This window comes from Homo sapiens, chromosome 15 (genome assembly GCF_000001405.40).
Source record: "Homo sapiens chromosome 15, GRCh38.p14 Primary Assembly".
Taxonomy (NCBI): Eukaryota; Metazoa; Chordata; class Mammalia; order Primates; family Hominidae; genus Homo; species Homo sapiens.
In genome coordinates, this window is record NC_000015.10 from 22,756,961 (window position 1) to 22,780,559 (window position 23,599).

General features: G+C 48.3%; 1 long non-coding RNA gene and 1 pseudogene across 1 annotated transcript, besides 3 other annotated features; one reads left to right on the plus strand and one right to left on the minus strand.

Moving 5' to 3' along the window:
• Positions 897-21,777, plus strand: LOC283683 (uncharacterized). Its single transcript, NR_040057.1, has 5 exons — positions 897-1,034; positions 1,859-1,961; positions 7,264-7,398; positions 17,256-17,353; positions 20,807-21,777. It is a non-coding gene; the product is annotated as an uncharacterized LOC283683 (long non-coding RNA).
• Positions 919-1,148: a silencer, noted in NCBI's record as "silent region_6258". NCBI's record gives its function as "represses an Ori minimal core promoter by ATAC-STARR-seq in GM12878 lymphoblastoid cells {active_cell/tissue: GM12878}" and the evidence as "EXISTENCE:reporter gene assay evidence [ECO:0000049][PMID:35858748]".
• Positions 8,940-9,440: an enhancer, noted in NCBI's record as "H3K4me1 hESC enhancer chr15:23106710-23107210 (GRCh37/hg19 assembly coordinates)". NCBI's record gives its function as "activates a minimal SCP1, AML or CMV promoter by ChIP-STARR-seq in primed H9 embryonic stem cells {active_cell/tissue: H9 hESC(primed)}" and the evidence as "EXISTENCE:reporter gene assay evidence [ECO:0000049][PMID:30033119]".
• Positions 10,674-19,065, minus strand: LOC729900 (golgin subfamily A member 6-like protein 7; annotated as a pseudogene).
• Positions 19,065-19,359: an enhancer, noted in NCBI's record as "tiled region #3977; HepG2 Activating non-DNase unmatched - State 10:DNaseD, and K562 Activating DNase matched - State 1:Tss". NCBI's record gives its function as "activates a minimal TATA promoter and a strong SV40 promoter by Sharpr-MPRA in HepG2 and K562 cells {active_cell/tissue: HepG2 | K562}" and the evidence as "EXISTENCE:reporter gene assay evidence [ECO:0000049][PMID:27701403]".
• Positions 21,778-23,599: the final 1,822 nt, after the last annotated feature.

Genomic DNA, 23,599 nt, shown 5'->3' on the forward strand with positions numbered 1-23,599 from the left:
TGCAGTAGCACGATCTCGGCTCACTGCAACCTCCGCCTCTGGGGTTCAAGCGATTCTCCTGCCTCAGCCTCCCGAGTAGCTGGGACCACAGGCACGTGCCACCTCACCTGGCTAATTTTATTTTTTGAATAGACAGGGTCTTGTTATGTTGCCCAGGCTGGTCTTGAACTCCCGGGCTCAAGCGATCCTCCCACTTCAGCCTCCCAAAGTGCCAAGACTACAGGTGTGAGCCACCACACCTGGCCAAGTTCTACTTTTCTAATATTTAAAATATGAAATAGGCCGGGCACGGTGGCTCACACCTGTAATCCCAGAACTTTGGGAGGCTGAGGCGGGCAGATCACCAGAGGTCAGGAGTTCGTGACCAGCCTGGCCAACATGATGAAACCCCGTCACTACTGAAAATACAAAAATTAGCCAGGTGTGGTAGCAGATGCCTGTAATCCCAGCTACTCGGAAGGCTGAGGCACCTAAACCGGGGAGGTGGAGGTTGTAGTGAGCCGCTACCATGCCACTGCACTCCAGTCTCGGCGACGCAATGAGACTCTGTCTCAAAAAAAAAAAAAATAGATGATGTCAGTGATTTCTATTACATGAGGTCTGGAAGCACTCTGTACGTGATTGCTCCACGTTTAGTGGTGCTAAGTTCAAATAATTCAGGTGGTGAGAAACTGACTTCCGTAGGAGTGCGGGTGTGCGTGCGTGCCGCGGAAATCCCGCCTTCTGGCACCTGCGGTTGCCCCCTGGCCTCAGCCGGTGGGCTCCCAAGTAGGAAGATAAACCGCATTGCAGGAAGCGGGAGAGTCCGGAGGAGCGGCGAAGCGCTCCTCTTCCCCATTGGCTGCGCCCACGGAGCCGCCTTGCGATTGGCCCTAAGCGCGGGTGGCGGGGGTCGGGAGAGGCGTCAGGATCCCTGGCGCCGCCTGAGCCAGCGGCTGCTAGGAGGCTGTGTCCGCAAGCCAGCGGGGCGAGGCGGCTGGGCCCTGCGCGTCAGGTCCCGGCCTGGGGCACCGGGGCTGCCAGCGTCGGAGGAGGTGCGGGCGCTGGGTTGACGGGCGGCCGAACGGGGGGCCTGCGCGGACCGCCCGCGGCGCAGCCTTGGGTCTGTCTCCATGTCTAAGTGGTGGTGGCTGTGGGTTTTTCTGCAGGTGATCCTTTTGAGTAATTTGTTTCACGCAGGCGCCCTGCTGTAGGGTAAAGCGGCAGATTCGTGCTGCTGTCATTTGTCGTTCAAACTGTGGGCTTCTTGACCAGGCGCGGTGGCTCAAGCCTGTAATCCCAGCACTTTGGGAGGCCGAGGCGGGCGGATCACGAGGTCAGGAGATGGAGATCATCCTGGCTAACACGGCGAAACCCTGTCTCTACTAAAAATACAAAAAATTAGCTGGGCGTGGTGGCGGGCGCCTGCAGTCCCAGCTACTCGGGAGGCTGAGGCAGGACAATGGTGTGAACCCGGGAGGTGGAGCTTGCAGTGAGCTGAGATTCCGCCACTGCACTCAAGACTGGGTGACAGAGGGAGACTCCATCTCAAAACAAAACAAAAAACGATGGGCTTTCTGTCATGTGTGTGTGTACCTTTTGGATTTGAGGGCAGGGGGATGACATTGTGATCTGGCCTCCTGAGAAACCAGGCACACCCTGCCTACCTTGGAAGGAGGCTTTCCCTTCCCCACCTCCCTCTCCCTCCATCTGTTCCCTCTTTCCCTCTCTGCACTTCACTCCGGTCCCCCAGCTCTTCTCTCCCATCTTTTTGTTCTCTGTCTCTCTCTTTTGTTTTTTTTCTGCATTAAACCTTTCCGGAGTGTCTTTGTAAAATAGTAAAAAGCGTTAGGTCTTCAACATGTATGTTTACTTGCAGGCCTGAGAACTGGGAGGAAGCTGGAGAAAAGATGCCCTCTGAATCTTTGTGTTTGGCTGCCCAGGCTCGCCTTGACACCGAATGGTTGAAAACAGATATACAGGTGGGGTTTGACATGTGTTTTTCTTGGTGTATTTCTGCTTCCATGTTTAAATTTCTCGTGTAAGGCTTTTTTTTAGGGTATGTAAGGGGAAGTCAGTTGTATCTTGCTATATTAGAGGATCAGGTTTGTTTCCTGTAACTTAAAATGTAACAGTCTTCATGGCTGTTTTTGTAGATCGTGCAGGGCTGCCTTTTAATTAGTTTCTTGCAAGTGCAGGAAACGAGATTTATTAATAGGCAAAATTTTTTTCTTAATTATTATTACTGGTTGAGAAATCTGCTACACTCCTAACCATATCATGGTGACTGTTGTTTGTTACTGATAGTTTTTGAGCTGTTGAGTTAACTGTGGAGGGCAAAATTGGAGAAGTAAGTTGCAGTAATTATGGCCGCTAGAAACTCACTCCTTTTATGAGGTCTTTTGTTTGTGTTTCTGGAGAGAAAAGAGTTAGTTCAGTTGAGCTGTTTGTTTTGTATTTGTAACCAATACAAGGACTGAGGACAATTATGTTGAAACTGAGGTCATAATGTTGGGATCTTAAGGGCTGAAGGTTCCAAATAAATGGTATGTATAGAATTCTCTCTGACTTGAAATTTTCCCTTTCCGGACCTCCAGATGCTGAGGCTAGGAGTGTCCATATGACAGTGCCTTCCATGACTGGAGTCAGCAACCTTTTTTTTTTTTTTTTTACACGTATCAGTAATTCATTCTCTATATTTTGAAAAGTTTTAACCTCTTCTTCCTAGCCCTCCAGTATTTGTTAATAAATTAAAACGTTTCCCAAAGTGTTTTTTGTGAAACAATAATTCTAAAAGATGCTCTAGAAAAGCTAAGTACATGGAAAAATCCAAAGTGTATATTTTATTTATTACATTTCATGAATTTTTGTTTTTGTTTTTTCCTCTTGAGAGGGAGTCTTGCTCTGTCTCTCAGGCTGGAGTGCAGTGGCATGATCTTGGCTCACTGCAACCTCCGCCTCCTGGGTTCAAGCAGTTCTCTGCCTTAGCCTCCAGAGTAGCTAGGATTACAGGTGCCCTCCACCACGGCCAGCTAATTTTTGTGTTTTTAGTAGAGACAGAGTTTCACCATATTGGCCAGGCTGGTCTTGAACTCCTGACCTCATGATCCACCCTCCTTGGCCTCCCAAAGTGCTGGGATTACAGGTGTGAGCCACTGTGCCTGGACCACATTTGATGACTTTTTTTGTCCTTTGTTCTTTTAAAAATCATGGTTAGAAAGCAGAGCATAATTGTTCTTTACGTAGAACCCAACTGATTGGGGTTTTTAGGGAGACGTTTTGACATTCAGTAAATGTTTTTGTTTTCCATTATTAAGACTATGAATTTTTTATTTTACTTTCTGAGACAGGGTCTTGCTCTGTTGCCCAGGCTGGAGTGCAGTGGCGTGATCTTGGCTCACTGCAACCTCTGCCTCCCGGGTTCAAGCAGTTCTCCTGCCTCAGCCTCCCGAGTAGCTGGCATTACAGGTGCCCGCCACCACTACCCTCCCCCTTTCAGGTTCAAGCGATCCTCTGCCTCAGCCTCCTGAGTAGCTGGGATTACAGGTGCACGCCAGCATGCCCGGCTAATTTTTGAATTTTTAGTAGAGACGAGGTTTCACCGTGTTGGTTAGATTGGTCTCGAATTCCTGACCTTGTGATCCACCCGCCTCGGTCTCCCAAAGTGCTGGGATTACAGGCCTGAGCCACATTTTTAGTAGAGATGGGGTATCACTATGTTGGCCAGGCTGCTCTGGAACTCCTGACCTCAAGTGATCCCCTCACCTCGGCTTCCCAAAGTGCTAGGATTACAGATGTAAGCTACCACGCCTAGCCGTATTTTGTATTTTTAGTAGAGATGGGGTTTTGCTGTGTTGGCCAGGCTGGTCTTGATCTCCTGGGTGCAAGTGATCATCCCACATTGGCCTCTCAAAGTGCTGGGATTACAGGCATGAGCCACCACACCTGGCCAATGGGAGGTCTCGCTTCCCTTCTCTCCAGCATTCCATAAGCAATGTGTTTCGGTAGTATGTGTTCGATTTTCTCTATGTATACTTTGAACCCTACAGTAGTGAAAGGAAGAGTAGACAACTTTGAAGTTGTTGTGGTGTGGTCTTTGAGCTGGTGGTGCTAATTACTCTTGGTTGTTTTCGTGGCCTCCAGTGACTTCATCCTGCTTTTGCTGTTGTAAAGTGTTGTAATTTATGCTCCTGAGAATAACTCTTGAGGTGTACTTAGGGTTCTTGTCTGCTTCCCGGTGACTGTCGAAGCTTTTCATCTTGAAGAAGGGAGATGAGCAGTGTTCCAGTACACTGAGTTTAAAATTAAGAATGTTGCATTTTTTTAATGTGTAAAATTTATAGCCAGCTGTAGGGTAGGGGTGGCCTACTTTCTCTAAAGGGCCAGAAAGTAAATATTTTAAGGTCTCAATGGACCCTATGGTCTCTGTCATAGCCATGAGACCTTGCAGATTTAGTGCCAAAGTAGCCACAGACAATACCACGTCAGCGGGCAGGGGACGTTCATTCTGTAAAGTGTATTTATGGACACCAAAAGATGAAGTCCACCGAATGTTTGCAAGTCACAAAATACTGTTTTTCTTTTGAATGTTTTTCAATTATTAAAAAATATAAAATACAGTGGCCGGGCATGGTGGCTCACACCTGTAATCCCAGCACTTTTAGAGGCTGAGGCAGGCGGATCACCTGAGGTCAGGAGTTCGAGACCAGCCTGGCCAGCATGGTGAAACCCCATCTCTACTAAAAACAAAAAATTAGCGGGGCATGGTGATGCACGCCTGTAATCCCAGCTCCTCGGAGGCTGAGGCAGGAGAATCACTTGAACCTGGGAGAATCGCTTGAGCCTGGGAGGCAGAGGTTGTGATGAGCCAAGACTCTGTCTCAAAAGAACAACAAAAATAAAATACTTTCTCTGCGTTCAGACCATACACAAAGAGGCTGTGGGCTGGGTTTGGCCCCTGGGCTGTGGTTAGTGACCCCAAACACACACACACATACACACACGTAGGGCAGAGTCTGGCATTTAGAGCCAGCACCTGTGTTCTCACCTGAGCTGTGTTCCTGGCTGGGTTCTGCTGTGTATTCTGTGACCCAAGATGTCTGTCTACCTTGGTAAACTGGAGACAACAAAGCCTGCCTCCTTCAAGGTTGTTTGTAAAGATTTAAAAGGGTAATGTATTGTTGTTAGGCCAGATGCTTTGCATAGTACATGTTAGGTTATTTTCACTTTTTTTTTTTTTTTTTGAGACAGAGTCCTACTCTGTTGTACAGGCTGGAGTCCAGTGGCGAGATTCCAGCTCACTGCAACCTCTGCCTCCCAGGTTCAAGCAATTCTCCTGCCTCAGCCTCTCGAGCTGCTGGGATTACAGGTGGCTGCCACCATGCCAGGCCAATTTTGATATTTTTAGTAGAGATCGGGTTTCACCATGTTGGCCAGGCCGGTCTCAAACTCCTGACCTCAAGTGATCCACCCACCTCGGCCTCCCAACGTGGTGGGATTACAGGCGTGAGCCACCGCATCTGGCCCATTTTCACTTTCCATTAGCTGCTTTTTTCCCCCATTCATTTCCTACCTTTCTGTGTATGATTTCTGAATTAAATGTATTTCATGTCTTAACCTTCTGAATTGTTTGTCCTCTCATTTTCCATGTTGTTAAGGAAAATAAGAGGCTAAGTGAGACGTATTAAATTTGTATGTAGTTTCTCAGATCAGGATAAATGCTCACCTGTTGCAGAACGGGACTCTGCTCTTGCTTCACCCAGGATGCCTTTCCTAGTTCCTTCCTAGAGTGGGGCTGCACCCTACTCCAGCCCTCCAGACCCAGCTCCCTGCTCTGACATGATTCCACCAGACCGTATTCCAGCTGTTCTCCCTGGACCTAGATATTTTCCTTCTTTTTTTTTTTTTTTTTTTCCTGAGATGAAGTCTCACTCGGTGGTCCAGGCTGGAGTGCAATGGTGTGATCTCGGCTCACTGCAACCTCCGCCTTCCAGGTTCAAGCCATTCTCCTGCCTCAGGCTCCCAAGTAGCTGGGATTACAGGCACGTGCCACCAAGCCTGGGTAATTTTTGTATTTTTAGTAGAGACAGGGTTTCACCATGTTGGCCAGGCTGGTGTCGAACTCCTGACCTTGTGATCCACCCGCCTCGGCCTCCCAAAGTGCTGGGATTACAGGTGTGAGCCACCACACCCACCCAGCCAACATATTTTTATTAAAAAACTTATATGAAATTTATTTTATTGTGGTATGTAGTTCAGTAAATTTTGACCTCTATAGATTCGTGTAACCCCCATCATCATCAGGGTGGAGAATTTTCTTCACCCCGAAAGCTCCCTTGTGCTGCTCCTTTTTATCACGTGTTCCCTGGTCTCATACCCTGGCAACCACTGATCTGTTCTCCATCAGTATAGGGTATTCTTTTTGAGAATGTCATGTGAGTGGAACCATATTTTAAGTAACGTTTTGAAACCATCTTCATTTACTCCCAGTTATATGTTTGAGATTTATCTGCTGTTCTATGTATTAATAGTTGTTTTTATTGCTGATTAGTATTTCATCATTTGGATGTACCACATGGTGTTTATCCATTCTGCCATTGTAGGACCTTGTGGTTGTTTCCATTTTTCTTTCCCAATTGTAATCCTACTGTGAGCATTTCTCTACAGATTTTATGTGAATATAGTTTCCATTTCCCTAGGATAAAGACCTAGTAGTGTGAAAGTTGGGTCATGTGCTGAACTGTTTTCCGAAGTGGCTGTTTTAGTTTGCATTCCCACTGGCAATCTGTCACGTTTCTGTTGCTCTGTGTCTTTGTTAGCACTTGGTGTTATCAGTGTTTTTTAGTTGAGCCATTCTAACAAGTCTAGTGGGATCTCATTGTGGTTTTAATTTGCACTTCCGTAATGGCTAAGAATGCTGAATATCGTGTTCTTCTTTGCCACTCTTGTATCCTCTGTGAAGTTTCTGTTCAGATCTTTTGCACAGAAAAAGCTGTATCATGGAACCAGTAAAATAACCAAGGAGAGGTTGATTAAAGTTCTGTTTATAACCCTAGAAGATTCCTGCCCTAGGGATATGGGATGGCTGAACGTAGGACACCGACACTGGACAGATGAAATAGCAGTTTATTAGTCACGCATGCTCACAGCCCTGGGGTGGGGGATACCGCATGCCATTCAGTTAATGATGTGTGTTGTAACTTTTCGGGGAGGGACATTTGCAGAGACTAATGGTATGACATTCTGAAAAGCGGTGACAGATTAAAAAATTTTTTAATTCTGCAGATGATAGTGTCGAACCAAGTGGAACAAAGAAAGAAGATCTGAATGACAAAGAGAAAAAAGATGAAGACGAAACTCCTGCACCTGTATATAGGGCCAAGTCAATTCTGGAGACCTGGGTGTGGGTCAAGCAACCAGGTAATCTTCTGAGTTTTGGCATTTTGGAAAGCTTGATCTGACGCTCCTTTTCTAAATAACTTGGATGGATTATTCGTATTTTTTGGTAACAATTTAAAAAAATGTAATTAAAAAAATTTAAATATTGTGGTAAAATATACATACCTTAAAACTTGCCATTTTAATCATTTTTATGTGTACAGTTCATTGGCATTAAGTATATTCACATTATTGCCCAGCCATCACCACCATCCATCTCTACAACTTTTGCCCTTTCTCCAACTGAAACTCCGTATCCATGAAACACTAACTCCTTCTGTCCCCAGGCAACCACCATTCTACTTTTGTCTCAGAATTTGACTACTCAAGGTGTCTCCTATAAGGGGAATCATACAGTATTTGTCCTTTTGTGACTGGGTTATTGAACTTCCTAGGTGTTTGGGGTTCATCCGCATGTGTCAAAATTTTCTTTTAAAGGCTCAATGCTATTCCATTATATATGTAAGCCACATGTTATCCCTTCAGTGGGCAATCAGGTTGCTTTCATCTCTTGACTGTTGTGAGTAATGCTGCTATGAACACTGGTTTACGAGTGTCTTGAGTGTCTGCTTTTAATTCTTTGTGGCTATACCTAGGAGTGGAATTGGTCAATAATGTGGAATGCTTACATATTTATTTTTTTTGAGATGGCATCTCGCTCTGTCGCCCAGGCTGGGGTGCAGTGGCGCCATCTCAGCTCACAGCAAGCTCCGCCTCTCGGGTTCACGCAATTCTCCTGCCTCAGCTTCCTGAGTAGCTGGGACTACAGGCGCCCGCCACCATGCCTGGCTAATTTTTTTGTATTTTTAGTAGAGACTGGGTTTCACCGTGTTAGCCATGATGGTCTCCATCTCCTGACCTCGTGATCCACCCGCCTCAGCCTCCCAAATTGCTGGGATTACAGGTGTGAGCCACCGCACCTGGCCAATAATGTGGTAGTTAGATTTATGTTTAACTTATTATTGTTGTTTTTGAGATTGGGTCTCACTCTGTCACTCAGGCTGGAATGCGTTGATGTAATCATAGCTCACTGCAGCCTTGAGCTCCTGGGCTCCAGTGACCTTCTTGCCTCAGCCTCTCAAGTAGCTAGGACTAGAGGCGCAGGGAATTTCTCATCTTCTCTCTACTGCCTCTGAGTTGGAGATGTCAGAGGGAGCCATGGCCCACTGTAAAGTAACACAATGTCCCCACCCACAGGGTTAGAACCCCTCTTCTGGTGGCAGCTCTGAGGGGAGCAGTCACATGTGGAGAGTACAGGGCTCTGTGTCCAGCTGGGGGAAGGAGGTTACCAAGGGGGTTGACCCCCCTCTGGCCAGGTGGCTGCCTTCTGACACACCAGTCTCTCTCTCTAGCACGGTGGCCCCTACACACCCAGCCTGTCAAACCTTCAGCCCTCAGGAAGGCTTTGGCCAAATCCATGAGCGGCTCCCTCTGTTAAGAAGGAAGCACAGCTGAAGCATGAGGAGGGCAGTAGAGTGTGTATGCTCTGCCGCGTCTCCCCACAGTCTGACCAGAAGGAAGGGGCCTTTCAGCCAGGCTCACCCAGGCTGGGGTTGGAGTGTCAGCATCAAGCCAATGTCTTCTTGCTTAATGAGTGAGCCCAGCTGCTCCCGTGCAGCTGCCACCATAGTGAGGGTGAACCAGCAGGAGGCTCCACGGCACTTTCAGGCTCAGGCTGCCTGGTGAGATCTACTCTGTGGGCTCTGTAGGCTGGTAGAGGCTTCCAGGAGGAGGAGGGGATGCAGCCACCAGTCCCCACTCCTGGGAGTCGTATTTCTGAAAGCTTGGGTATACAGTAAATATTAGGCTGTGGGCTGGTTTATCTATGGATTTGATGTGGGAGGGTTATAGGTACAAGCAGTTTAAAGATGGAAATTTTGAGAGAACAGGAAGGGATTTAGTGCTGGGTAAGGCAAGCAGGCTTGTCAAAGCAGCTCTTTTGGGGAGGCCAGAATCCTGTACAAATGTCCTCAGCATGTTCATCAGCTGCTGGGGGAGTGCCGGACAGGATGAAAGCACAGGAGAACTTTCTGGATGATAAATGTTCCATATCTTCAAAGGAGGTGGGTTACATGGGTAATGCATTTGTTAAAAGTCATCAAAATGTAAACCAGATCTGTGCATTTCACGGAATAGGAATTATACCTCAAATTAGAAACATTTATAAAAAGACAGATGGGCTGGATGCAGTGGCACACGCCTGTAATCCCAGCACTTGGGGAGGCCGAGGCGGGTAGATCACATGAGTCAGGAGCTCGAGACCAGCCTGGACAACATGGTGAAATCCCGTCTCTACTAAAAATATAAAAATTAGCCAGGGGTGGTGGCATACGCGTGTAATCCCAGCTACTTGGGAGGCTGAGGCAGGAGAATTGCTTGAACCCAGGAGGTGGAGGTTACAGTGAGCAGAGATTGTACCACTGCACTAGAGCCTGGGCAACAGAGTGAGACTCCATCTCAAAAAAAAAAAAAAAGGGTTTTCAACATTCATTAAAGGCAGAGTAGCTTGTTATAGACTAGCCTCCCCACAGGAACAGTTAGAAAAACTGGACAAAAATGTGTCCCCCCTTCCCCCCACCATCAAAAACAATTGTTGGAAGGTAATTGGGGACCTCAGCCAGGACTTGAGTGACCAGGCCTAGGAGGTGATCCTGACAGTCCTTAGTGCTTTTCCCACATTTGGTGATTGGTCAACAGTAGAGGGCTAAGAGGCTAAGAAACTGAGTATGAAGTGATAGTTAAGAGGCTGGAGAGCCTAGCTGAATGTTTGGCACTCTCACAGGGCTGAAATGACATAATGAGAATTTGGGTCCCAGTAAGGAGATGAGACCTTGGTGGGGATCCTGGAAGGGCCACCCCTAAGAGTCCAAAAGAATAAAAAATAGACCAGCTGTCACAAAAACTAAAACCTGCTTTGAGCCAGCTTAGTCCCAAACTAGATGAAAGCGATCTGCTTGAACGCCAATTGTGTGCCATAAAGTCAAAGTCAATACTCTCTGGAGACACATAAAACTTTACTAGGCATGCCATAAGACAAGACAACACAAGACGAAAGGAGAAAACAAACAAAAAAAACAATAGAAACATACATAGATATTAGAGTCCTCAGGTAGAAAAATTTTTTTTTTTTTTTGAAATGGGAGTTTCACTCTGTCACCCAGACTGGAGTGCAGTGGTGTGATCTCGGCTCACTGCAACCTCAACCTCCCACGTAGCTGGGATTGGTGATCCACCTGCCTAGGCCTCCCAAAGTGGTGTGATTACAGGTGCAGGCCACCGTGCCCGGCCAGTATTTTGCCACAATTTAAAATACATTTTCTTTTTTTCAAGTTTGTTCTCAGACTATATTCACAAGGTCACATGGCGGCTTACACTTCTGTAGGCCTTGTTGACCGTTCTTTTTAGATATTGATGATCTTGATCTTTTTCTTGTCTCCTCGGTAGAAGAATGGGATGCAGGAGGTGCTGCCTAAGCCTGGGCGCTCCTGGGCGTTCTTCATTCCAGGGGGCAGCTGCATGATCTGCTGTGCAGTGTGGTGGTCATGGGAATAACCCTTCCCGGCTTCTCGTGCAGGCTCCAGGCTGCCAGGGTGGCTCATATCACAAGGATATTTGGAGGGAGGGAGGCAGGGCTCTGAGCACCGCTCCTCCTGCATCTTCTCCTCCTGCTCTCCCATCCTCTCCTTCTTCTCCCCCATCTTCTCCACCTGCCCCCGGATCTTCTCCTCCTCCTCCTGCATCTTCTCATACTCATCCCACAGCCTCTCCTCCTTGAATCGCAGCCTCTCGACCTGCTTCCGCATCTGCTCCTCCTGCTCCCCCATCTGCTCCTCCTGCTTCCTCATCTGCTCCTCCTGCTCCCCCATCTGCTCCTCCTGCTTCCGCATCTGCTCCTCCTCCTCCCCCATCTGCTCCTCCTGATTCCTCATCTGCTCCTCCTGCTCCCCCATCTGCTCCTCCTGCTTCCGCATCTGCTCCTCCTGCTCCCACATCTGCTCCTCCTGCTCCCCCATCTGCTCCTCCTGCTCCCCCATCTGCTCCTCCTGCTTCCCCATCTGCTCCTCCTGCTCCCCCATCTGCTCCTCCTGCTTCCTCATCTGCTCCTCCTGCTCCCCCATCTGCTCCTCCTGCTTCCGCATCTGCTCCTCCTGCTCCCGCATCTGCTCCTCCTGCTCCCCCACCTGCTCCTCCTGCTTCCGCATCTGCTCCTCCTGCTTCCGCATCTGCTCCTCCTGCTTCAGCATCTGCTCCTCCTGCTCCCCCATCTGCTCCTCCTGCTTCCGCATCTGCTCCTCCTGCTCCCCCATCTGCTCCTCCTGCTCCCCCATCTGCTCCTCCTGCTTCCGCATCTGCTCCTCCTGCTTCCGCATCTGCTCCTCCTGCTTCAGCATCTGCTCCTCCTGCTTCAGCATCTGCTCCTCCTGCTCCCCCATCTGCTCCTCCTGCTTCCGCATCTGCTCCTCCTGCTCCCCCATCTGCTCCTCCTGCTCCCCCATCTGCTCCTCCTTCTCCCCCATCTGCTCCTCCTGCTTCTGCATCTGCTCCTCCTGCTCCCCCATCTGCTCCTCCTGCTCCCTCATCTGCTCCTCCTGCTCCCCCACCTGCTCCTCTTGCTCCCGCACCTGCTCCTCCTGCTCCATCTGCTCCTCCTGCTTCCGCATCTGCTCCTCCTGCTTTTGCACCTGCTCCTCCTGCTTCCGCATCTGCTCCTCCTGCTCCCCCATTTGCTCCTCCTGCTCCCCCATTTGCTCCTCCTGCTTCCGCATCTGCTCCTTCTGCTCCCCCATTTGCTCCTCCTGCTTCTGCATCTGCTCCTCCTGCTTCCGCATCTGCTCCTCCTGCTCCCCCATCTGCTCCTCCTGCTCCCCCATCTGCTCCTTCTGCTTCAGCATCTGCTTCTCCTGCTTCCGCATCTGCTCCTCCTGCTCCCCCATCTGCTCCTCCTGCTCCCGCACCTGCTCCTCCTGCTCCCCCATCTGCTCCTCCTGCTTCCGCATCTGCTCCTCCTGCTTCCGCATCTGCTCCTCCTGCTTCCGCATCTGCTCCTCCTGCTTCCGCATCTGCTCCTCCTGCTTCCGCATCTGCTCCTTCTGCTCCCCCATCTGCTCCTCTTGCTTCCGCATCTGCTCCTTCTGCTCCCCCATTTGCTCCTCCTGCTCCCCCATTTGCTCCTCCTGCTCCCCCATTTGCTCCTCCTGCTTCCGCATCTGCTCCTCCTGCTTCCGCATCTGCTCCTCCTGCTTCCGCATCTGCTCCTCCTGCTTCCGCATCTGCTCCTCCTGCTTTCGCACCTGCTCCTCCTGCTTTCGCACCTGCTCCTCCTGCTTCTGCATCTGCTCCTCCTGCTCCCCCATTTGCTCCTCCTGCTTCCGCATCTGCTCCTTCTGCTCCCACATTTGCTCCTTCTGCTCCCACATCTGTTCCTCCTGCTTCCCCATCTGCTCCTCCTGCTCCCGCATCTGCTCCTCCTGCTCCCGCATCTGCTCCTCCTGCTCCCGCATCTGCTCCTCCTGCTCCCCCGTCTGCTCCTCCTGCTCTGTCTGCTCCTTCTGCTTCAGCATCTGCTCCTCCTGCTCCCGCATCTGCTCCTCCTGCTCCCGCATCTGCTCCTCCTGCTTCCGCATCTGCTCCTCCTGCTTTTGCACCTGCTCCTCCTGCTTCTGCACCTGCTCCTCCTGCTCCCCCATTTGCTCCTCCTGCTTCCGCATCTGCTCCTTCTGCTCCCCCATCTGCTCCTCCTGCTCCTGCATCTGCTCCTCCTGCTCCCCCATCTGCTCCTCCTGCTCCCCCATCTGCCCCTCCTGCTCCCCCATCTGCCCCTCCTGCTCCCGCACCTGCCCCTCCTGCTCCCGCACCTGCCCCTCCTGCTCCCGCACCTGCCCCTCCTGCTCCCGCACCTGCCCCTCCTGCTCCCGCACCTGCCCCTCCTGCTCCCGCACCTGCCCCTCCTGCTCCCGCACCTGCCCCTCCTGCTCCCGCACCTGCCCCTCCTGCTCCCGCACCTGCCCCTCCTGCTCCCGCACCTGCCCCTCCTGCTCCCGCACCTGCCCCTCCTGCTCCCGCACCTGCCCCTCCTGCTCCCGCACCTGCCCCTCCTGCTCCCGCACCTGCCCCTCCTGCTCCCGCACCTGCCCCTCCTGCTCCCGCACCTGCCCCTCCTGCTCCCGCACCTGCCCCTCCTGCTCCCGCACCTGCCCCTCCTGCTCCCGCACCTGCCCCTCCTGCTCCCGCACCTGCCCCTCCTGCTCCCGCACCTGCCCCTCCTGCTCCCGCACCTGCCCCTCCTGCTCCCGCACCTGCCCCTCCTGCTCCCGCACCTGCCCCTCCTGCTCCCGCACCTGCCCCTCCTGCTCCCGCATCTGCTCCTCCTGCTCCCGCATCTGCTGCTCCTGCTCCTGCATTTGCTGCTCCTGCTCCCACAGCTCCTTCTCCTGGTCCCGCAGCCTCTGCTCCTGTCACCACATCTTCTCCTTGTGCTTCCGTAGCTTCTCCTGATCCTGTAGCTCCTCCTTCTGCCTCCACATCTTCTCCTGCAAAGTGTTGGTTTGAACCTCAAAAGGAAATAGAGTCATAAGCTAGGTATATAAATGTAATCTATAAAATAACGGTTTTCGTCTATGATTCTTTAAAAAGAAATTTTAAGCCCTAACCCTGAGGTTCTGATTTCCCAGGCATGGTCCCAAATTGTAGATTTTTAGCACACTCTAGAGGATTCTATGGTGGGACCAGAACAAGGACTCAAATTTTCCAGCTCTTGGCTGGAGCCTCCCCACACCCTGCATGATCCCTAGACCATGTCCCAGCCGGATGCGGCTCCCACACCCCCGGGGCTGCAGCCGCTCACCTGTGGCAGCGGGATTTTGTCCGTCTCCAGTTTCCTTTTTAGCTCCTTGATGTGGAGCTGGATCTCAGACTTTTCAGTTTCTACCAGTTGAAGTTCTTCTTGTAGTTCGGCATTTTTCTCCTTCAGCTCCTCATTGGTTATGCTATGGCCGGAGGCAGTAGAGAAAGGAATGAACGAAGAACAGAAAGGACCGCTTTGGTGATCGACCCTCTACCCTCGCCCCACAACCACAGAACCGTGGCATTGGAAGGGACCCCAGGAATTAAAAGTCCCAGGTGGCAGGCCAGAGAGAAGACATGAGTTGCCTGAGGCTACCCCATGAGTCAGTGGCACAGCCGTCACTGGAGCTTCCCTGCACACACATGTAAACCTGTATGACCCCCTACCATGCTCACCTGTACCCCCCACCTCCCAGCACACCACCCACGCTAAGGGCCCCCAGACCTCCCATCCCACCTTCCCCCATCCTACGTGTTCCTGTACAGTTCCAGACTCATGGCTTCCCTCTCCTTTGTTAACTCCTCGATGTACTGCAAATAGAGAAAGGTCAAGTCAGGATACAGCAGGCAGAGGAGCAGCTGGACGACCAGTAACGACAGCTACACTGATACTCCACAGTAACACTTGCTCCCTCTCAGTCACACCCGACATGTTCTCAAGGCGTTTCCAAACCCATGGTCTCATTTGTTTTTCCTTTCTTTTTTTTTTTTTTTTTTTGAGATGGAGTTTCGCTCTTGTTGCCCAGGCTGGAGTGCAATGGCGCGATCTCACCCCACCGCAACCTCCGCCTCCCGGCTTCAAGCGATTCTTCTGCCTCAGCCTCCTAAGTAGCTGGGATTACAGGCATGTGCCACTGCACCTGGCTCTCACTTGTTTTTCAGAGAACTCAGTAAGGGTGGAAGGCACAGGGAAAGAGACTGAATTGATAGCTGGCTAACGGGCCCAGAGCGATCAGATAATATTGCTATTGTTATTACTGTTATTACTACCACTGTTGGAACCTTTCTTGAGTGCTTCACCAGGCACTATGCTAACAATCCCATTTAATCCTCACAGCCACCACAGGAGACAGTTATCATTATCACCTCTATTGTGTAGATGAAGAACATGGGGTATTAAAGGTTAAGTGCTTGCCTAAGATCACTTAGAGCTGGGATTTCAACACCCAGGTATATCTGATTCTCTAAACCCATTCTTTTGGTTGGGGGTAGGGGCACAGATAAGGAGGAGGAAATTAATCCTTTGTTGATTTTTGAAAGAATGATACATTGGCATAGTCCAAACCTCAGAAGGTACAGAAGGGAAATATCTTCCCCCAACACTGTTCCTCTCTCCTGAGTTTTTTATGAATCCTTACAAACATGTTTTATGTATATTACCATAATACGTACGTACACACACACACACACACACACACCCACGTACATGTGTTCCCTCTCTCTACACAAATGGTAACATACTAAAGATACTCTTCTGTACCTTCATGGTACAAGTACCCTCAACTCCACCTAGGATTTGACCAAGGCCACAGCCAAGTATGGGTGGGGTGGGCACTTGGCCTCCGAGCTCTGTGTCCAGTGCTCGCTCCCCACAGCGCCCCGCAACTCACCCACAGCAGCTGACTCAGCCCCAACCTGCCTCTAACAACCACGCACAAAAGCAGCAAGAAATGGCCCATGCTGTCTTCTGGGCAGGACACTGCATTCTGCAGAAGGGACCTTTAGGCTCATTCCTCCATCTGCGAAGCTGGGCTCCCAGGGGACCCGGTAAGTGGTTGGACTCACCCTGTCCGCCCTCTTGTGCTCTGCGGACATAGCAGAGAGAGCCCGCTGTAACTCTCCTGCAAAGTGCCAGGAATGATGCAGGCAGCCTGCCAGATCCTTGGAATCTTCTGGAATGAGAGAGGTTGAGCTGCAGCCCAAAGGCCTGTGAAAGTGCCAGGTTGAAGGGTGACGGGGTGCCCAGATTCCCACCTTCAAATTTCCTGGCAGCATCCTGGCTGTCATGGAGCGCTGTCTCCAGTTCAGTTTTCTGACACATAAGGATTCGTATGGTATGATCCTGGGCCTTTGGGAGACAAGAAAAGCAAGTGCTGAAAGAGAAGCAAAGAAACCTTCTCCAGAGGACAGGAGGGAACTTCACACCCTCCACTCACCTCTAGCTGCCTCCTTAGGGCTTGCTGATGTTGGTGGCTTGCCTTCTTTTCCTATAGAAAAGAAGAGGAAGACAGAGCTCTTACTAGAGGGAGGCAGAGATGGCACAGCAAGAGACATGCCCCCAGCATGGCACCACTGTCCCAGGACAGGCCCACCCATGGGACCAGGTTATCAGGGACCCTGTGGGGATGGGGTGGAAGCTGGGAGGTGAGCCTTCCTCCCCAGGCTGGGAGTAGGCGAGACGAGACTGGGGCCTCTACATCTGAGTGCCCCCCAAACCCAGCGGTCATGTCGTGAGCAAAGAAAGAAACCATGTTACCTCTTTCAGCTGAGCTCCGTTCTGTTGTTTCTGTGGGGAGAGTCAAAGGAAGGTGACTGAGGGTGGCCCCTCGACTCTATTGCCCAGGCCAGGAAGCGGTACGCAGGGGTCAGGAATGGATTTTAAGGGCAAAGTTCTCAGACCCAATGGGAACACAAACTGGTCAACTTGCCTTAACGCCCAAAGAAAAAGGATTTGGGTCTTTGTTGGTTTTTGCCCACAGCCACAGAACTGAAAGTCTGAAACTAGATTCTCTGGAAAAGACAGTAACATAAACCTTCCGACATAAGAGTGTGAGAAAAGCCCACCCTTCTGCCAGCTTGTGATGGAGAAAGATGTGTTCATTCAACAAGCATTGAGCAAGCACATAGGGGCCGGGGACAGTTCTTCACAGCTGGGATATAGGACGGAAAAGGCAGACAGGAGCCCTTGGCCCCAAGGTTTCCATTCTAGTGAATCTTTAAATCTCAGACTCTCAGAGCAAACAGAACCCTCTGATACTCTAACTCTACCTCCTCAGGAAACGGAAGCCCAAAGAGGAGGGGAGCTTACAGCAGGCCCTGGACTAGGGATTAACACAAAAACAACAGCAACAAATCTGATTTAAGCTTCACACATGTAAGTAAAACATTACCATCCCCATTTTACAGGTGTGAAAAGAGAGGCCCAAAGAACTCGAGCAATTTTCCCTAAACCGTGTCCCTCGCAGATGGAGAGAGAAGTAGGACTCAAACCCAGAATTCTTAGCCAGTACCCGGCAGTTCTTCCTTCCACAATCTTAACAGTTACCCTCGACCTCCCCCTTGTGCCCCTTGTCCTCAGGAGACCGGCCAGCCAAGACTCACATCCTCAGGCGAGTGGCAGCCCCCCGAAGTGGTTGTCTCAGGGTTAGTGCCATGATTTATTTTCTTCTTTTTGGTGTCGGTTGCTCCGGTACCAACACCAGCAATGTTCCACTGACGATAGTCTGTGAACTGTGGAAAAGAGGAGCAGTGATACTCATGAGAACTACAAGCTCCTACAGTCACTTTACAGTTTATACAAAATACTCTCATAGACGATCTGATTTAATGCCACCAACGACTGTACGAGGTGTTGTCGCAATCACTTAGTGACTGAGAGGGATTGATACCATGGCTAAAAGAAAGGCAATAATGGAACTGAAACTCAGTCTTCTGACTCTGAGCTCTGGGGTGTTGCCACAAATCAGCAGCTGCCAGAGACCAAAACCAGAGGCAGAGGTAGGAAAGTAAAAAGTAGGCAGGAAGGTGTACACTGTGTGGTTTACAGTCGTACATCCTCTTAGAGTTATGTATCCTCAGGGCAGAAGGCAGCCTTTCTGTTAAATGTGGGAATTAAACAGAAAGAGGACAACCCAAGCTGCATTTCAGAGAGAAGTCTTGTATACTCTTTGAAATCTATGTGCCTATCATCCCTAAGAACATTAATGTTTTGTCTCTCCCACGAGAATCAAGGGAAACTGATGCTTCAGAAAGATGCCCCATCTGTATCCTGTGGCACTCAAAGTACCCCAGGTTGAGATGAGATGAGGAAGATTCAAGTTGTCAAGTCCAGTTTCCCAAGATCTCTTGCACAGAAGATGAGCAAATCTCACTTCAAAGATCACTGACTGATGGGCACTCTGGTCCCAGAACCATGGAGAATTCAAATATGAGGTGGATAACTTAGAAAAAACTGTTAAAGTCTCTCTGGAGAGTAGAAGCCTGGGAGAAAACCAAACCAAACCCATTCTCCCATCAGTGCTGCGCCCAAGTTGCCTCTTTGAGATTGGCGTGGGGTCACAGGGTTGGGACCCAGGTACTTGGAGACGTGAGCCCAAAGAGCCCAGGGAAGTCAGGCTTGGGGCAGTGGTAGGTGAGGGCTGAGTATGGAGTGGGGAGCCCCAGGAGTCACCTGCCCAAAGTCACCCTGGGGTGACTGGTGAGGGCAGGTGCTGGGGCATCCAGTTCCTTGGAAACGTGAGCCCGAAGGGCCCAGGGAGATCCGTTTTTGGACAATAGGAGGTGAGGGCAGAGTACCAAGCAGGGAGCCCCACGAGTCACCGGCTGAAAGTCACCCTGGGGTGACCGGTGAGGGCAGCGGCCGGACTGCTGAGGGGTTGGGGCTGACACAAGATTTTGGTTGGGGGAGCCCAGAGGCACTGGGGGGGCCCAGCCCTGTGTGCCTCTGGAGTGACACGGATTCTGGCAGCTGTTCTGCCATCAGAGGGGACCTGGGGCTGGGTTGGGGTTGGGGTGCTGCAATCCGATGCATTTTACCTTTCTCTTGGCCCCAGCCAATTTTCTGTGTCAGGTTTTTTCTGACATCATGGGGTGGGGAGGGAGGTGGGGTTGGGGCCACATTGGCGTGATCCAGGCGAGGACAGTGATATGCCTCCAGTCACGTACCACGCAGCTATGTGACTGAGCCACAGGAGGTGTCACCAGGGTCTCACTAGAATGCAGAAAAGGGGCGTGGCCTTAATGATCCAAGCCCATTGGTCAATGAGAAAGATGAAAGGGAAAGGAGGCGGGGCCAGGCAGCTGCGTGTCATGAAGGTCCTGTGATGTCACAAGGAAAGCTGCCCATGCAACTGCTGTCCCCGCCCACTCTGGGAGAGAGGCGGGGCTGGCTTTCACTTTCTAAACTTTAAAACTTTATCACCTTAATTGAGGTACAAATCCTGTTGTAATGGAAAATTTACAGCGTGTTTAATGATTAGTAAAGCAGATTATATTATCCAACATTCCAATAAGATAAAATAATCACAGTGATTTCTCTTTTTTGGAAAAAGTTTCTCTTATTCTCCTACATTATTGTTAAGTTTTTTTTTTTTAAACTAGAGACATGTCTAATATATTTAAAAACACAAAGCTTTTGAGGTGGGCGTGGTGGCTCATGCCTGTAATCCCAGCACGTTGGTAGGCTGAGATGGGCATATCACCTGAGATCAGGAGTCAAGACCAAAATTTTAGTATTTTAGTGTGTATTTTAGTATTTATTTTAGTATTTAATACATCATTTAGGGCTACATGTAGCCACAGAAAGAATAAATCTGATTCAGTGACTTAAAGAAATATAGATTTCATTTTTGTCACTTAAAATGTTCAGAGGAAGGCAGTCCAGGGTTCTTTTCAGTTTCCTGATACTTTCTTAGCCAGGTTTTTATTCTTGTGGTTAAAATATGGCTGCTGTTTTTCCAGGCCTTGGATTGCCTTCCAAGGAGGGAAAGAAGAAAGGTCAGAAGGCTGAGTTTCTCTCTTTTTAGCTGAAAAACATAGATTTCTCAAAAGTTGTAAGATTATACTGCAATTCAATTTTCATTCCTTTTTTTTTTTTTTTTTTGAAACGCAGTCTTGCTCTGTTGCCAGGCTGGAGTACAGTGGCACAATCTCGGCTCACTGTCACAATGTCCGCCTCCATGGTTCAAGCGATTCTCCTGCCTCAGCCTCCCTAATAGCTAGGAATACAGGCGCATGACACCACGCCCGGCTCATTTCTTTTTGTATTTTTAGTAGAGACGAGATTTCACCATGTTGGCCAGGCTGGTTTTGAACTCCAGACCTTGTGATCCGCCCGCCTCTGCCTCCCAAAGTGCTAGGATTAGAGGCGTGAGCCACCGCGCCTGGCCTGCAATTTTCATCTTTTGGCTGCAAATAAGTTATGTCACTATTCTCAGCTGGGGGAGTGTTTAACTCACATGTTGCTTCCTCTCTGTTAGACAGGTTTTAAGATTTATGAATAGGTACTGAATTGTATCAATTGCTTTTTTCTTTCTTGATTGAGCAATGTTTTTTCTTATCTTTTTATGTTGATAAGGTAACTTAACAGTGATTGGCTTTTGAATGTTGAACATTGCATTTCTGGAATTAAATCAACTTTGTTGTGATAAATGATTAATACCATATTATGTATGGTTGAGATGGGCTTGCTCCTAGTTCATTTGGTAGTTTTGTACTTATGTTCACAAGAGAAAGTGGAGTCTAATTTTTTTTTTTCTGGTGATTTTTGTTCGTTTGTTTGTTTGTTTGTTTGTTTGTTTTTGCCATGGAGTCTGGCTCTGTTATCCAGGCTGGAATGCAGTGGCGTGATCTCAACTCATTGCAAGCTCCACCTTCTGGGTTCATGCCATTCTCCTGCTTCAGCCTCCTGAGTAGCTGGGACTACAGGCGCCCAACACCACACCTGGCTAATTTATTGTATTTTTTAGTAGAGACGGGGTTTCACCTTGTTAGCCAGGATGGTCTCGATCTCCTGACCTCGTGATCCACCCGCCTCGGCCTCCCAAAGTGCTGGGATTACAGGCTTGAGCCACCACGCCCAGACTTGTGAGGTTTTAATATGAAGTATTAAAGCTATGCTGGTTAGACAATTTGGAAAATGTTTCTTCTCCTATTTCTGACAGAGTTTATGTAAGATGTGTGCTATTTCTTCCTTAAGCATTTGGAAAGAATTCACTTATTAAGCCATGTGAGACTGTAGTTTTCTTTATAAGGTGTTTAACTACAGGTTCAATTACATATATATAAATATTCATTTTGGTAACCTGTGTTTGCTGAATCAATTTGTTCATTTTATCGAAAATTTCAAAGTTATTCTATTATTCATTTATCTTTTTAATACTTATAAAGTCTCCGGTTAGAGTTTGTGCCTTTTGTCTGTTTTGTTAATCAATCTTGCTGGAGGCCATCAATTTTATTAGTGTTTCAAAAAAGCAAACTTTGATTTTATTCATCCCTTTACCATACTGAAAATGTTTTGCTTAATTTCCAAACTTATAGTTCCACTGTGATTAAATATTTGTATAACTAAAACTCTGTGGAATTTGTGTCTTCTCAATGATTGAAAATATGATTAATTTTTATAAATATTGCTTCTGCACTTGAAAAGGATATGTATTCTGCATGTTGAGCGTAGTGTACCACGTATCTCAGTTAGGTCCAGTGTGTTAAATGCATCCTTTAAAGATTCTATGTGCTTACTGATGTTTGTTTATTTTTCAGTGGCTGAGACACAGATATTAAAGTTTCCCACAATGATCATCAACTTATTTCTTTTTTTTCATTTGTTAAGCTTGTTCTGTGTGTTTTAAGGTTAAGTTACCAGGCATAAACACATTTAGAATTCCTTTTTCTCCCTTCTGGTTGCACCCTTTTATCATGAGGAAATACCCACTTTATCTCTCACATAGCTCTTTCGTTAAGAGTTTTTTTTAATATGTAAGAGAAAATAAAGTCTTGGAACCACCAAACCTGTTATGCTAAGGGAGACGTTAAGTTTGGGAGCTGAGTCATGCAACACTACCATTCTTTCTCCCCAAAGAGATAGCTGCCATTTCACAACCCTGTGTGATGGCATTAGACATAAGCCAGGTCCCCACTACCACAAAAGGCCACGTACCTCTCCATATGGCCTCCCTCACAAATCGCTCACAGGGATGTTCTTTACTGGCCCCTGAATCTTTCAGGATCCATGTCCCCCTATAAAATAAGCATATGCCCATTGTAACCGTGGCTCTGCAACCTCAGTTCAAGATGTAAAACTGAGTTCTATTCAATCTGACACTGACAATGTTGATTACAGGCCTATCTTCCCAGGTACAGAACAAGAACATGAGATCAATCACTCTTCCACCTACCCTGAGATGGCTGCATAATTGACTCTTTCCTTCCTCTTTTCAGATGTTTACCTTATCTTATGTAAAATGAAGATTTACTGAGCACTAATTAGAGCTTCCTAAGAATGTAACCACCGCTTCACTGCCTGCTCCCCCTCCCTTTCTTCTCTCCTGCACGCCTTCTCCCCTTATGTACTGAGTTCCCAAAACCCTCTTTGGAAAGCACAGGTCACAGGCGTTTCTCTGGCTTGTGTTTTTTCTGGGGGTATCATCAAATTTTGGCTGAACAAAGCTCTGTTGATGGAGGCACTTGCCTCAGTCAGTCACTCATTTTTTGATTAACAGATATAAATATAGTTACCCCTGTTTTTATTTACTTAGTCTTTGCTTTGTCAGTTCTTTGACTCTCAATTTTTCTTTTTTAAAAATAAATCTTATTGTGTATATTTAAGGCTTACAACATGATGCTAAGAGTTATATATAGATTGTAAAAAGATTCCTATACTGAAAGAAATTAACACACCAATCATTTCACATAGTTCCCCATTTCCTTGTTGCTTTTGTGGCAAGAGCAGTTGAAATCTACTCATTTAGCATGAATTTCACATGCATAACAATTTTGTTCCCTGCAGTCCTCATGTCATACATTACATCTCTAGACTTGTTCATCCTTCATACCTGCTACTTTGTGTCCTTTGGCCTCCATGTCCCCAATTCCTCCCCTCTCCCACCTCCCCTGGTAAACAATGTTTTGCTCTCTATCTCTGTAGATTTATTTATTTACATTTTTACATCCCACATATAAATGGGTTTATGCAATATTTGTTTTTCTGTGTATGCTTTATTTCACTTAGCATGACGTCCTCCAGCCTCATCCATCTTGCAGCAAATGGCAAGACCTTGTTTGTTTTAGGGCTGAATAATATTCCATTGTGTGTGTGTGCCACAGTCTCTTTATCCATTTATCCATTGATGGACACTTAGATTGTTTCCATATCTTGGCTATTATGGTTAGGACTGCAATGAACATGAGAATACAGGTAACTTTACATAGTAATGATTTCATTTCCTTTGGGTGTATGCTCAGAAGAGGGATTGCTGAGTCATATGGTAGTTCTATTTTTAATTTCTCTAGAAATCTTCATACTCTTTTCCAGAATGACTGTATCAATGTACATTCTCATCAACAGTATGCAAAAGTTCCTATTTCGCCACACCCTTGCCAACATTTATCTTTTGACTTTTTG